Here is a 13,412-nt window from a genome sequence, read left to right as displayed (position 1 = left end):
GCTGCATTAGTAGCTCTCTCATGCCTGCATATAGATGTTTTCTGTATTTTACCTAGTTTTTCTAGTTATTCTTATTGGAAGGGTCAGTCTGTTGTAAACTAATCTTCCATAACCTCTCCAGTGAGTTTTTATTTTCAATTAGTGTATATTTAATTTGTTCAAATGTCTTTCCAACCTTCTAGATCATTTATTTTTAATTTTCTTTCTGTGGAGGTATTTTCCCAGTGTAAAAAATAATTTTAAATGTATTAGCATGGTTATTTTATAATCTACATTTGATAATCCTAATAAATGAAATCCTTGCAGGTTTATTTTGGCTGGTTCTTTTTCATGGTGCCATGTTTTCTTGTTTACTGTATTTAATAGTTTGTTCTACCAGATGACATTCATGTCTGCTACAGTCTGGCACCCAGGAACACTACCACTTGGGCACCACTCTGTGTTTATTTATTTGGGGGGCGGTACTTATTTTTGTGATGTGAATTTAGATTGTATCTCTGAGAGCCCATTTGCGGTTACGAGTTCTTGTGGTTTTTTGTTTTCCCCTGCTTTGCTTATCATCAAAGCAACTTTTCTTTTAGTCCCCTAGGTCCAGACTTCTCATCACCTTTACGTTGAGGGGATAACTCTTTGATGTCTCAGCTTCCTGGGAGGAGAGTCTCCTGTTAGACTCTTAGGTGGTGGTTATTTTTAAATTTTTATTTTATTTATTTATTTAATTTTTGGGGGAGGAGAGTGTCCTGTTAGACTTTTAGGTGGCGTTTATTTTTTAATTTTTATTTTATTTATTTATTTATTTAATTTTTTGAGATGAAGTCTCACTGTGTCACCCAGGCTGGAGTGCAGTGCTGCCATCTCGGCTCACTGCAGCTTCTGCCTCCCATGTTCAAGCAATTCTCCTGTCTCAGCCTCCCAATTAGCTGGGATTACAGGCACCCACCACCACACTTGGCTAATTTTTGTATTTTTAGTAGAGACGAGGTTTCACCATGTTGGCCAGGCTGGTCTTGAACTCCTGACCTCAGATGATCCGCCCACCTCAGCTTCCGAAAGTGCTAGGATTACAGGCGTGAGCCACCATGCCTGGCCCTATTTTTGTTTTCTGTTCTTCATTTGAAATAAGATCTGTAAGTCTAAAGATCTTGTCAGAATGGCTGACCAAATATCCTCAGGGCAAAGACAGATTCAGCACTCCTTACCATCTCTGAGTTTGCACTTTCACTTCAATTTTGGATTGGTAGTTTCTTCTCAACTCTTGGATCCTGTCAAGATGTTTTTGTATTTTGCCTTGCATTTTTAGTTGTTGTTAGTTATGAAATTGGTACAAATGCTTTGGTTTTCTACATTGCCTGAAACAGAACTTTCTGTTTTATTACATAATTTGGAGAGCCATTCATAACACCTTTCTTTTAAACTTATCATTTTCTTTCTACTACACACGCATACCTACCTTTAAAAGGAGACAAATTCTACTTTTTAAACTTTGCTTTTAGAGAAAAGGTTTTGAAATGCATCTAGTGTTTTCCCTAAAGTTGAGTTTTACTTTTGATTCAGAATTCTCTACTATTTGTAACATTTTTCAGTTCTACGAACCCTGAAATCATTTTCAGAAGGCAGAGATTTAGGCTACAATCAATTTATTTGGGATATTTCTGTAATTAGAATAATTTATTTGTATTTAAGTCGCATTTCTTTTAGTAGTGAACAATAAGTAAAGGTGTAACAAGAAAAGCAGGGGTACTCACCTTCTATTTTTTATTGCACTGCTTAGTTTCCCATTTCCTGAGTGATTAGAATTTGGTAAATTGGTGGAATTTTTTTGTCAGTTTGTATATTCATTGGATTACTTCTTCTAAATAATTTCAGAATTTACTTTATATCTTTTAAGGTGTGAGTACCTCAAAGACAAGGACTTGTTTTGAGATTACTTTAAAATAGTTTCCTTTTATGAAAGATTACCTAATCAATATTAGGTGACAGAGATGTTTTATGTTAGAATAATATAGAACTTTAATGTTCCTTTAGTATTTAGTTTTGTAAATGAATACGAAAAGTGATCATCTTGTAATATGTTTTTCAATTCACTTTCTTCTTTCCTCAGAAAGTAGAAAAGGTACTAAAACCGTCATTTCTTTCCTAATCTTCATGAATAATTTCTTACTGGCCCTGGGTGAGAGGCTGTTTTCAAGGCCATCTTATGGTATCCACAAAGGTAGAGTTTAGACCTTGCAGTTTAAGCCTCTGTGAAAGTGCTTCTAAATTACCGAAGTGAAGAGAGCTTACACTTAATCTTTGGATAATTTCAGTTGTGGACTTTAGAATGAATCAGCTAGGGGGAAAAATGTTCCTTATTAGAAGCATAAAACCTACTGACTCTGTCTTGGCCAGTGTTCGCTTTTTTCCAGTAAGCTGTCTGCTATACAGAGGTGTATAACCCTAATGGCTTGTTGTATGCCATTAAAAGGTATTGTACACTCATAAAAGAATGACATTTTGATCAATGCTGTTAAAAGAATTACTGTCTTGACACAGAAAAGCTTTCCTGCTGCAAGTTTAAAAATATGCCTTTAAAAGCTTTTTATTGAATACCTTTGCATCCCTCAGAAATGTGCCATTTTGGCATGAGGTTATTCTGCAGTATTCCATATTGTAAATTAAATGCAAAACCCCCTATTTACCTTTAGAAATAGCAGAGGTATTTCCCTACCAAATAGAGCTTAAAGACTTGGTAGCATCTTAAACCACTGTTGGTGATCTGAAAATAGAATTTTTTAAAAAGAGAAAGCTGAAAACTAAATTATTATTTTTTATTTTGTGAGTTATTGATTTTTTCGTGCTGTTTTGTTTAAACTTTGTGGTTTAATTTCCCTCTGGATTTAAGAATTATGCCTTTCCACCCAGTTCAGAGATACATTTTTTCTAGTCATCTGGGAATTGGTTGTCTTAAATGGTGACATGCTGGATGTGGTACTGTTTCTTTTTCTTTTATTATATTTTTGATTAGGAGTTGATGAAAACCACGTCATAATAGACACATTCTTTCATGTTTCTTCTATACGCAGCTGGTCTTTTACAAATTTTCTTATCTATCATTGCTGTTGTTTTAGCTTTTTTCTTTTTTTTTTTACATATTTATTTATTTATTTATTTATTATTAGTATTATTATTATTTTTTAATTATACTTTAAGTTTTAGGGTACATGTGCACAATATGCAGGTTAGTTACATATGTATACATGTGCCATGCTGGTGCGCTGCACCCACTAACTCGTCATCTAGCATTAGGTATATCTCCCAATGCTATCCCTCCACCCTCCTCCCTCCCCACGACAGTCCCCAGAGTGTGATATTCCCCTTCCTGTGTCCATGTGATCTCATTGTTCAATTCCCACCTATGAGTGAGAATATGCGGTGTTTGGTTTTTTGTTCTTGCAATAGTTTACTGAGAATGATGGTTTCCAATTTCATCCATGTCCCTACAAAGGACATGAACTCATCATTTTTTATGGCTGCATAGTATTCCATGGTGTATATGTGCCACATTTTCTTAATCCAGTCTATCATTGTTGGACATTTGGGTTGGTTCCAAGTCTTTGCTATTGTGAATAATGCCGCAATAAACATATGTGTGCATGTGTCTTTATAGCAGCATGATTTATAGTCATTTGGGTATATACCCAGTAATGGGATGGCTGGGTCAAATGGTATTTCTAGTTCTAGATCCCTGAGGAATCGCCACACTGACTTCCACAATGGTTGAACTAGTTTACAGTCCCACCAACAGTGTAAAAGTGTTCCTATTTCTCCACATCCTCTCCAGCACCTGTTGTTTCCTGACTTTTTAATGATTGCCATTCTAACTGGTGTGAGATGGTATCTCATAGTGGTTTTGATTTACATTTCTCTGATGGCCAGTGATGATGAGCATTTTTTCATGTGTTTTTTGGCTGCATAAATGTCTTCTTTTGAGAAGTGTCTGTTCATGTCCCTCGCCCACTTTTTGATGGGGTTGTTTGTTTTTCTCTTGTAAATTTGTTTGAGTTCATTGTAGATTCTGGATATTAGCCCTTTGTCAGATGAGTAGGTTGTGAAAATTTTCTCCCATGTTGTAGGTCACCTGTTCACTCTGATGGTAGTTTCTTTTGCTGTGCAGAAGCTCTTTAGTTTAATTAGATCCCATTTGTCAATTTTGGCTTTGGTTGCCATTGCTTTTGGTGTTTTGGACGTGAAGTCCTTGCCCACGCCTATGTCCTGAATGGTAATGCCCAGGTTTTCTTCTAGGGTTTTTATGGTTTTAGGTCTAACATTTAAGTCTTTAATCCACCTTGAATTAATTTTTGTATAAGGTGTAAGGAAGGGATCCAGTTTCAGCTTTCTACATATGGCTAGCCAGTTTTCCCAGCACCATTTATTAAATAGGGAATCCTTTCCCCATTGCTTGTTTTTTTCAGGTTTGTCAAAGATCAGATAGTTGTAGGTATGCAGCGTTATTTCTGAGGGCTCTGTTCTGTTCCATTGATCTATATCTCTGTTTTGGTACCAGTACCATGCTGTTTTGGTTACTGTAGCCTTGTAGTATAGTTTGAAGTCAGGTAGTGTGATGCCTCCAGCTTTGTTCTTTTGGCTTAGGATTGACTTGGCGATGTGGGCTCTTTTTTGGTTCCATATGAACTTTAAAGTAGTTTTTTCCAATTCTGTGAAGAAAGTCATTGGTAGCTTGATGGGGATGGCATTGAATCTGTAAATTACCTTGGGCAGTATGGCCATTTTCACGATATTGATTCTTCCTACCCATGAGCATGGAATGTTCTTCCATTTGTTTGTATCCTCTTTTATTTCCTTGAGCAGTGGTTTGTAGTTCTCCTTGAAGAGGTCCTTCACATCCCTTGTAAGTTGGATTCCTAGGTATTTTATTCTCTTTGAAGCAATTGTGAATGGGAGTTCACTCATGATTTGGCTCTCTGTTTGTCTGTTGTTGGTGTATAGGAATGCTTGTGATTTTTGTACATTGATTTTGTATCCTGAGACTTTACTGAAGTTGCTTATCAGCTTAAGGAGATTTTGGGCTGAGACCATGGGGTTTTCTAGATAAACAATCATGTCATCTGCAAACAGGGACAATTTGACTTCCTCTTTTCCTAATTGAATACCCTTTATTTCCTTCTCCTGCCTGATTGCCCTGGCCAGAACTTCCAACACTATGTTGAATAGGAGCGGTGAGAGAGGGCATCCCTGTCTTGTGCCAGTTTTCAAAGGGAATGCTTCCAGTTTTTGCCCATTCAGTATGATATTGGCTGTGGGTTTGTCATAGATAGCTCTTATTATTTTGAAATACGTCCCATCAATACCTAATTTATTGAGAGTTTTTAGCATGAAGGGTTGTTGAATTTTGTCAAAGGCTTTTTCTGCATCTATTGAGATAATCATGTGGTTTTTGTCTTTGGCTCTGTTTATATGCTGGATTACATTTATTGATTTGCGTATATTGAACCAGCCTTGCATCCCAGTGATGAAGCCCACTTGATCATGGTGGATAAGCTTTTTGATGTGCTGTTGGATTCGGTTTGCCAGTATTTTATTGAGGATTTTGGCATCAATGTTCATCAAGGATATTGGTCTAAAATTCTCTTTTTTGGTTGTGTCTCTGCCCGGCTTTGGTATCAGAATGATGCTGGCCTCATAAAATGAGTTAGGGAGGATTCCCTCTTTTTCTATTGATTGGAATAGTTTCAGAAGGAATGGTACCAGTTCCTCCTTGTACCTCTGGTAGAATTCGGCTGTGAATCCATCTGGTCCTGGACTCTTTTTGGTTGGTAAACTATTGATTATTGCCACAATTTCAGCTCCTGTTATTGGTCTATTCAGAGATTCAACTTCTTCCTGGTTTAGTCTTGGGAGGGTGTATGTGTCGAGGAATGTATCCATTTTTTCTAGATTTTCTAGTTTATTTGCGTAGAGGTGTTTGTAGTATTCTCTGATGGTAGTTTGTATTTCTGTGGGATCGGTGGTGATATCCCCTTTATCATTTTTTATTGTGTCTATTTGATTCTTCTCTCTTTTTTTCTTTATTAGTCTTGCTAGCGGTCTATCAATTTTGTTGATCCTTTCAAAAAACCAGCTCCTGGATTCATTGATTTTTTGAAGGGTTTTTTGTGTCTCTATTTCCTTCAGTTCTGCTCTGATTTTAGTTATTTCTTGCCTTCTGCTAGCTTTTGAATGTGTTTGCTCTTACTTTTCTAGTTCTTTTAATTGTGATGTTAGGGTGTCAATTTTGGATCTTTCCTGCTTTCTCTTGTGGGCATTTAGTGCTATAAATTTCCCTCTACACACTGCTTTGAATGTGTCCCAGGGATTCTGGTATGTTGTGTCTTTGTTCTCGTTGGTTTCAAAGAACATCTTTATTTCTGCCTTCATTTCGTTATGTACCCAGTAGTCATTCAGGAGCAGGTTGTTCAGTTTCCATGTAGTTGAGCGGCTTTGAGTGAGATTCTTAATCCTGAGTTCTAGTTTGATTGCACTGTGGTCTGAGAGATAGTTTGTTATAATTTCTGTTCTTTTACATTTGCTGAGGAGAGCTTTACTTCCAACTATGTGGTCAATTTTGGAATAGGTGTGGTGTGGTGCTGAAAAAAATGTATATTCTGTTGATTTGGGGTGGAGAGTTCTGTAGATGTCTATTAGGTCCACTTGGTGCAGAGCTGAGTTCAATTCCTGGGTATCCTTGTTGACTTTCTGTCTCGTTGATCTGTCTAATGTTGACAGTGGGGTGTTAAGGTCTCCCATTATTAATGTGTGGGAGTCTAAGTCTCTTTGTAGGTCACTCAGTACTTGCTTTATGAATCTGGGTGCTCCTGTATTGTGTGCATATATATTTAGGATAGTTAGCTCCTCTTGTTGAATTGATCCCTTTACCATTATGTAATGGCCTTCTTTGTCTCTTTTGATCTTTGTTGGTTTAAAGTCTGTTTTATCAGAGACTAGGATTGCAACCCCTGCCTTTTTTTGTTTTCCATTTGCTTGGTAGATCTTCCTCCATCCTTTTATTTTGAGCCTATGTGTGTCTCTACACGTGAGATGGGTTTCCTGAATACAGCACACTGATGGGTCTTGACTCTTTATCCAACTTGCCAGTCTGTGTCTTTTAATTGCAGAATTTAGTCCATTTACATTTAAAGTTAATATTGTTATGTGTGAATTTGATCCTGTCATTATGATGTTAGCTGGTGATTTTGCTCGTTAGTTGATGCAGTTTCTTCCTAGTCTTGATGGTCTTTACATTTTGGCATGATTTTGCAGCGGCTGGTACCGGTTGTTCCTTTCCATGTTTAGCGCTTCCTTCAGGAGCTCTTTTAGGGCAGGCCTGGTGGTGACAAAATCTCTCAGCATTTGCTTGTCTGTAAAGTATTTTATTTCTCCTTCACTTATGAAGCTTAGTTTGGCTGGATATGAAATTCTGGGTTGAAAATTCTTTTCTTTAAGAATGTTGAATATTGGCCCCCACTCTCTCTGGCTTGTAGGGTTTCTGCCGAGAGATCCGCTGTTAGTCTGATGGGCTTCCCTTTGAGGGTAACCCGACCTTTCTCTCTGGCTGCCCTTAACATTTTTTCCTTCATTTCAACTTTGGTGAATCTGACAATTATGTGTCTTGGAGTTGCTCTTCTCGAGGAGTATCTTTGTGGCATTCTCTGTATTTCCTGAATGTGAGCATTGGCCTCCCTTGCTAGATTGGGGAAGTTCTCCTGGATAATATCCTGCAGAGTGTTTTCCAACTTGGTTCCATTCTCCGCATCACTTTCAGGTACACCCATCAGAGGTAGATTTGGTCTTTTCACATAGTCCCATATTTCTTGGAGGCTTTGCTCATTTCTTTTTATTCTTTTTTCTCTAAACTTCCCTTCTTGCTTCATTTCATTCATTTCATCTTCCATCGCTGATACCCTTTCTTCCAGTTGATCGCATTGGCTCCTGAGGCTTCTGCATTCTTCACGTAGTTCTTGAGCCTTGGTTTTCAGCTCCATCAGCTCCTTTAAGCACTTCTCTGTATTGGTTATTCTAGTTATACATTCTTCTAAATTCTTTTCAAAGTTTTCAACTTCTTTGCCTTTGGTTTGAATGTCCTCCCGTAGCTCAGAGTAATTTGATCGTCTGAAGCCTTCCTCTCTCAGCTCGTCAAAATCATTCTCCATCCAGCTTTGTTCCGTTGCTGGTGAGGAACTGCGTTCCTTTGGAGGAGGAGAGGCGCTCTGCGTTTTAGAGTTTCCAGTTTTTCTGTTCTGTTTTTTCCCCATCTTTGTGGCTTTATCTACTTTTGGTCTTTGATGATGGTGATGTACAGATGGGTTTTCGGTGTGGATGTCCTTTCTGTTTGTTAGTTTTCCTTCTAACAGACAGGACCCTCAGCTGCAGGTCTGTTGGAATACCCTGCCGTGTGAGGTGTCAGTGTGCCCTGCTGGGGGGTGCCTCCCAGTTAGGCTGCTCGGGGGTCAGGGGTCAGGGACCCACTTGAGGAGGCAGTCTGCCCGTTCTCAGATCTCCAGCTGCGTGCTGGGAGAACCACTGCTCTCTTCAAAGCTGTCAGACAGGGACATTTAAGTCTGCAGAGGTTACTGCTGTCTTTTTGTTTGTCTGTGCCCTGCCCCCAGAGGTGGAGCCTACAGAGGCAGGCAGGCCTCCTTGAGCTGTGGTGGGCTCCACCCAGTTTGAGCTTCCCAGCTGCTTTGTTTACCTAAGCAAGCCTGGGCAATGGCGGGCGCCCCTCCCCCAGCCTCGCTGCCGACTTGCAGTTTGATCTCAGACTGCTGTGCTAGCAATCAGCGAGATTCTGTGGGCGTAGGACCCTCCAAGCCAGGTGTGGGATATAGTCTCGTGGTGCACCGTTTTTTAAGCCGGTCTGAAAAGCGCAATATTCGGGTGGGAGTGACCCGCTTTTCCAGGTACGTCCGTCACCCCTTTCTTTGACTCGGAAAGGGAACTCCCTGACCCCTTGCGCTTCCCAGGTGAGGCAATGCCTCGCCCTGCTTCGGCTTGCGCACGGTGCGCGCACCCACTGGCCTGCGCCCACTGTCTGGCACTCCCTAGTGAGATGAACCCGGTACCTCAGATGGAAATGCAGCAATCACCCGTCTTCTGCGTCGCTCACGCTGGGAGCTGTAGACCGGAGCTGTTCCTATTCGGCCATCTTGGCTCCTCCCCCTGTTTTAGCTTTTTTCATACTTTGTAAGCCTTCTACTGTTACCTAACTTCTGACTTTTTATCTTTTGTGAAACTGAGCATTTTAAAATTCAATATCTTGAAAACCATTTCTTACATGTGTCACTACAAAGTGATTATTTACTAGATAGATAATATTGTACTTTTTGAATCTGATTTTAATCCCACTCTAATGAACTTTTCACACATTTCAGGGTATGGACATATTTTAGGATAGATTAGCATTGATTTTATTTAGCATGTTGGCTTTATCAGTCTGGTCTACTTTTACTTATGAAGCAGGTATTTTTTGTGTTGCTGGTGATGGTGGTTGTGTTTTTATTATCATTAAGTGTCAGATGATTTATATATGTTGATAACACTAAAACATGTTACAGTTATGTGCCATGTTCTCTGCTAAAATACTTCCTATGGCTCAGAGAAATCATAAAACTTGATCAAACAATGAGTAAGTTGTGGAGTTGGGATTCAAACAGATAGTCTGACTCTCAACAGTTGTGCTCTTCTAACTCTTTTTTTAATCTTATGTAATTGTTCTAGGTAGTATTATCCCCTTTTTAACAAATAAGGGACCTGAAGCTCAGAGTTCATACTTTGCCCATTGATACACAGTAAAGGAATGGCAGAGCTGGCATTTGAAACAAGCCTGTTTGACTTCAAAGGGTATCTTCTACTATGTTGTACTCATTTTTCCTTCAGCCTTCTCGTTACACGCCCTTCTCTTAATTATTTTTTGTTGTATTCAAACATGGCTTTTATTAGGAATATTAGAATAAGAATTTGCCTCATGATTTTTGTTTAATGATTTGAAGAGTAGCATACTGAAAAGATAATTGGACTAGGTGTCAGGAGAGTTGGATACTTTTACTGTCTCTGATTCTGGCCATATGACATTGGACAAATCACCTCTGAGAGGTCTTATTTATAAAATGAGGGTTTTGGACTAGGTGATTTTAAAGGTTTCTGCAAACTCTAAAATCCAATTTGACTATATTTTGATTTAATGTTTACACCTATTATTTTAGTATGGATAAAATTTTATCACCTGTAATTCAGGCCATTAAATGCTATTTTTTATTAATGTTAGGGGACAAGAAGCTCTCTACTTGCACTATTACATCTAACGTTGAAATTCAATAATGGGAAGAAATTCCACATCAAGAAGTAATTTTATTACAAGGATGCTCTTTCCCTCCCTCTCCCCGTACCCCTCCCCCGGCTCTTCCCCTTCTTCCCTCCTTCCCTTTCCTTCCTTCCTTCCTTCCTTCCTTCCTTCCTTCCTTTCTTCTTTCTGAGAGTCTCACCCTGTCACTCAGGCTAGGGTGCAGTGGCAAGATCATGGCTTACCAGTTTGATCCAACTACCTCAGCCTCTCAAGTAGCTAGGACTACAGGTGTGCACCACCATGCCTGGTTCATTTTACAGTTTTTTGTAGAGAGGTGGTCTTGCTGTGTTGCTCATACTGGTCTTTAACTCCTGGCCTCAAGCGATCCTCCCGCCTCAGCTTCCCAGCCTGCCTGCTAGGATTACAGACATGAGCCACCGTGCCCAGCCAACACTCTGTCTTTTAAACTACTCAAAAGTCTCATAGTTTTTACAGTCAGAATAACTCTGGAAGTCTAAAAATTATAAAAGGAGAAAACCATTTTTAAAAGAAAACATTTCCACCAAAGAATACAGGAATAGGCAACTGCCACCTTCAAAGTACTTGTAAGTTTTTATCTGTACAGCAATACTATTAGCAATAGTAATAATATTTATTGGGAATTAATTTTGTGCTACTGTATTGTACTAAGCATTTTATGTACATTGTGTCATTCAATACTCATGAAAACACTGAGGTAGGTACTATTATCCCCATTTTACATACTGGTAAATAGAAAATTAATGAGGCTAAGTAATTTATCTCAAGGTTACATTCTTGATAAGTGGTAAGCTGAGAATACCTCAGAGATTTTCCTCATATTTACAAATAGAATAATTGTCACAGGTTCCTCTGATAACACTTAGTGAGGTGAATATGATTTAAACATGAGACTTTAGGAAGGAGTGCATCTGATGACTTGTCCAAAATGGCAGTTTGTAAGTTCTCAGATTTGATCACTGCCAGTTACATATATTAATGATATGGTCATAAATAATAGCTTTTGGAAAATTTTACAACACCACATGTTTTCTGAAGAGTGAGTAAATGCATTTTAAGTTTTAGAGAAGCATTCCTTTTTTATTTTATTTTATTTTTTTGAGACTGAGTCTGGCTCTGTCGCCCGGGCTGGAGTGCAGTGGTGCCATCTTGGCTCACTGCAAGCTCCGCCTCCTGGGTTCACGCTATTCTCCTGTCTCAGCCTCCCGAGTAGCTGGGACTGCAGGCGCCTGCCACCATGCCCAGCTAATTTTTTGTATGTTTAGTGGCGATGGCGTTTCACCATGTTAGCCAGGATGGTCTCGATCTTCTGACCTCGTGATCCGCCTGCCTCAGCCTCCCAAAGTGCAGGGATTACAGGCGTGAGCCACTGCGCCCGGCCTAGAAAAACATTCTTTAGAGTTGGGGATGTGAATGGGTAAGGGAGAGAGTGTGTGTGTGTGTGTTTGTGTGTGTGTGCACATACACATGTTCATGCATCTGTTGGTAGCTGTAGATTAGGGTGACTGTCTCAGTTTGCCCAGGCTTGAATTTCTGGATCATGGAACTTTCAGTGCTAAAACTAGGAAAGTTCTGAGTAAACCAGCACAAGTATGTATGCATATATACACTGATACATGTATATATGTGGGCGTGTGTATGTATGTATAATAGTGGGCTATGGGAAGTCAGATCTTGCAGAGAGTAAAACTGCTCTGAATTCATTGCCTAGACTGATGCTTGTCTGTTTTATTAACAGACAGCTTTAGTCTCCTGTGTTTTCCCCATTTCAGATAACCTTTTCTTGTCATCTAAGAAATTAATTTCTTTGTTGGAATCATTGCAAGTAAACTTGATAGCAGGAATGCTGTTATTGAGGCAGCTTACACAGTGATTTGCTAAGTATAGCCTCCTCCTAAAAGGTGAAGCAGAAGTCATTTTATTGATTACTACTAGGAACCTGTTGAACTACCTGATTTTTACCCCTTCTTCTGAAGCCCACTATTTCTATTTCTCTTTATACCTTAGCATTTAGTTGGAAGCATTTTCTAACATGTATTTTCACATCATGTTTTTATTTATTTTTTTTATTTTTTTGCTATTTGCTTCTTTCTACCATAGAATTGGAACTGTTTAAAAACTATTTTTAGGCTAAGCCACATGAAATTATCAAGATTTGACTGTTTTTGACCCATAGAAATGGAATTTTATATGATTCAACTAATAGTTAATTCAACTTTCGGTTATTTAGAAATATTAGTCTACTAATTTAAATTTATGTGTGGAGTATTCCATTGAAACCCTGGTTAATGTTAGAGGAGAACTAAGGTGAACTTTGGGCTAATAACTCCATGCTGCCTATTTGCTAAAAAATATTTTTTAAAAGGTATAGCTTGTGGGAACACTGAGCATTGCACAGTCATTAATATTAGTCACTTAAAATTTATCTTAGTCAAATGTTAAGACTAAATTTAATCATTTTTCTTAGAATTTTGACCTACTATGTTAATTTTAAGCTAGAGTAGGTTATATATATGTTCATTTTTGATTCATGTTTGTGAATGCTCCTTTCATGGAATCAGAAGTAAAATTGTTGCCGTATTGCTAATAAAAACAAATACCAACCAACAAGATAACTTCGTGTCTTTTGGATGTTCAGTTGGAGTCAGGGTTTGCCTTTTTGGATAATTTAGGCTCCTAGAACCTAAAGTAGTTAAATGAGTGACTACAAGGAGTGACTATGATTTTTTTTTTTTAAAGAAATGTAGCCGCTGTATACGGTGGCTCAGGCCTGTAATCCCAGCACTTTGGGAGGCTGAGGCAGACAGATCACCTGAGGTCGGGAGTTCGAGACCAGCCTGACCAACATGGAGAAACCCATCTCTACTAAAAATACAAAATTAGCCGGGCGTGGTGATGCATGCCTATAATCCCAGCTTTCCAGGAGGCTGAGGCGGGAGAATCATTTGAACCCAGGAGGCAGGGATTGCGGTGAGCTGAGATCGCACCATTGCACTCCAGCCTGGGCAACAAGAGCAAAACTCCATCTCAAAAAAAAAAAAAAAAGAAAAAGAAAAAG

The 13,412-nt window shown here is 38.8% G+C and overlaps 1 long non-coding RNA gene across 4 annotated transcripts in view, besides 1 other annotated feature; it reads left to right on the top strand.

The window, feature by feature from the left end:
• The window catches only part of LINC01572 (long intergenic non-protein coding RNA 1572), a 384,069-nt gene that overhangs the window by 28,503 nt on the left and 342,154 nt on the right, over positions 1-13,412 (top strand). The gene's annotated exons all lie outside the window — the stretch shown is intronic.
• Positions 8,963-9,521: an enhancer, noted in NCBI's record as "H3K27ac-H3K4me1 hESC enhancer chr16:72660846-72661404 (GRCh37/hg19 assembly coordinates)". NCBI's record gives its function as "activates a minimal SCP1, AML or CMV promoter by ChIP-STARR-seq in naive and primed H9 embryonic stem cells {active_cell/tissue: H9 hESC(naive and primed)}" and the evidence as "EXISTENCE:reporter gene assay evidence [ECO:0000049][PMID:30033119]".

Source organism: Homo sapiens, chromosome 16, assembly GCF_000001405.40.
Source record: "Homo sapiens chromosome 16, GRCh38.p14 Primary Assembly".
Taxonomy (NCBI): Eukaryota; Metazoa; Chordata; class Mammalia; order Primates; family Hominidae; genus Homo; species Homo sapiens.
This window is presented reverse-complemented; position numbering and strand designations above follow the sequence as displayed.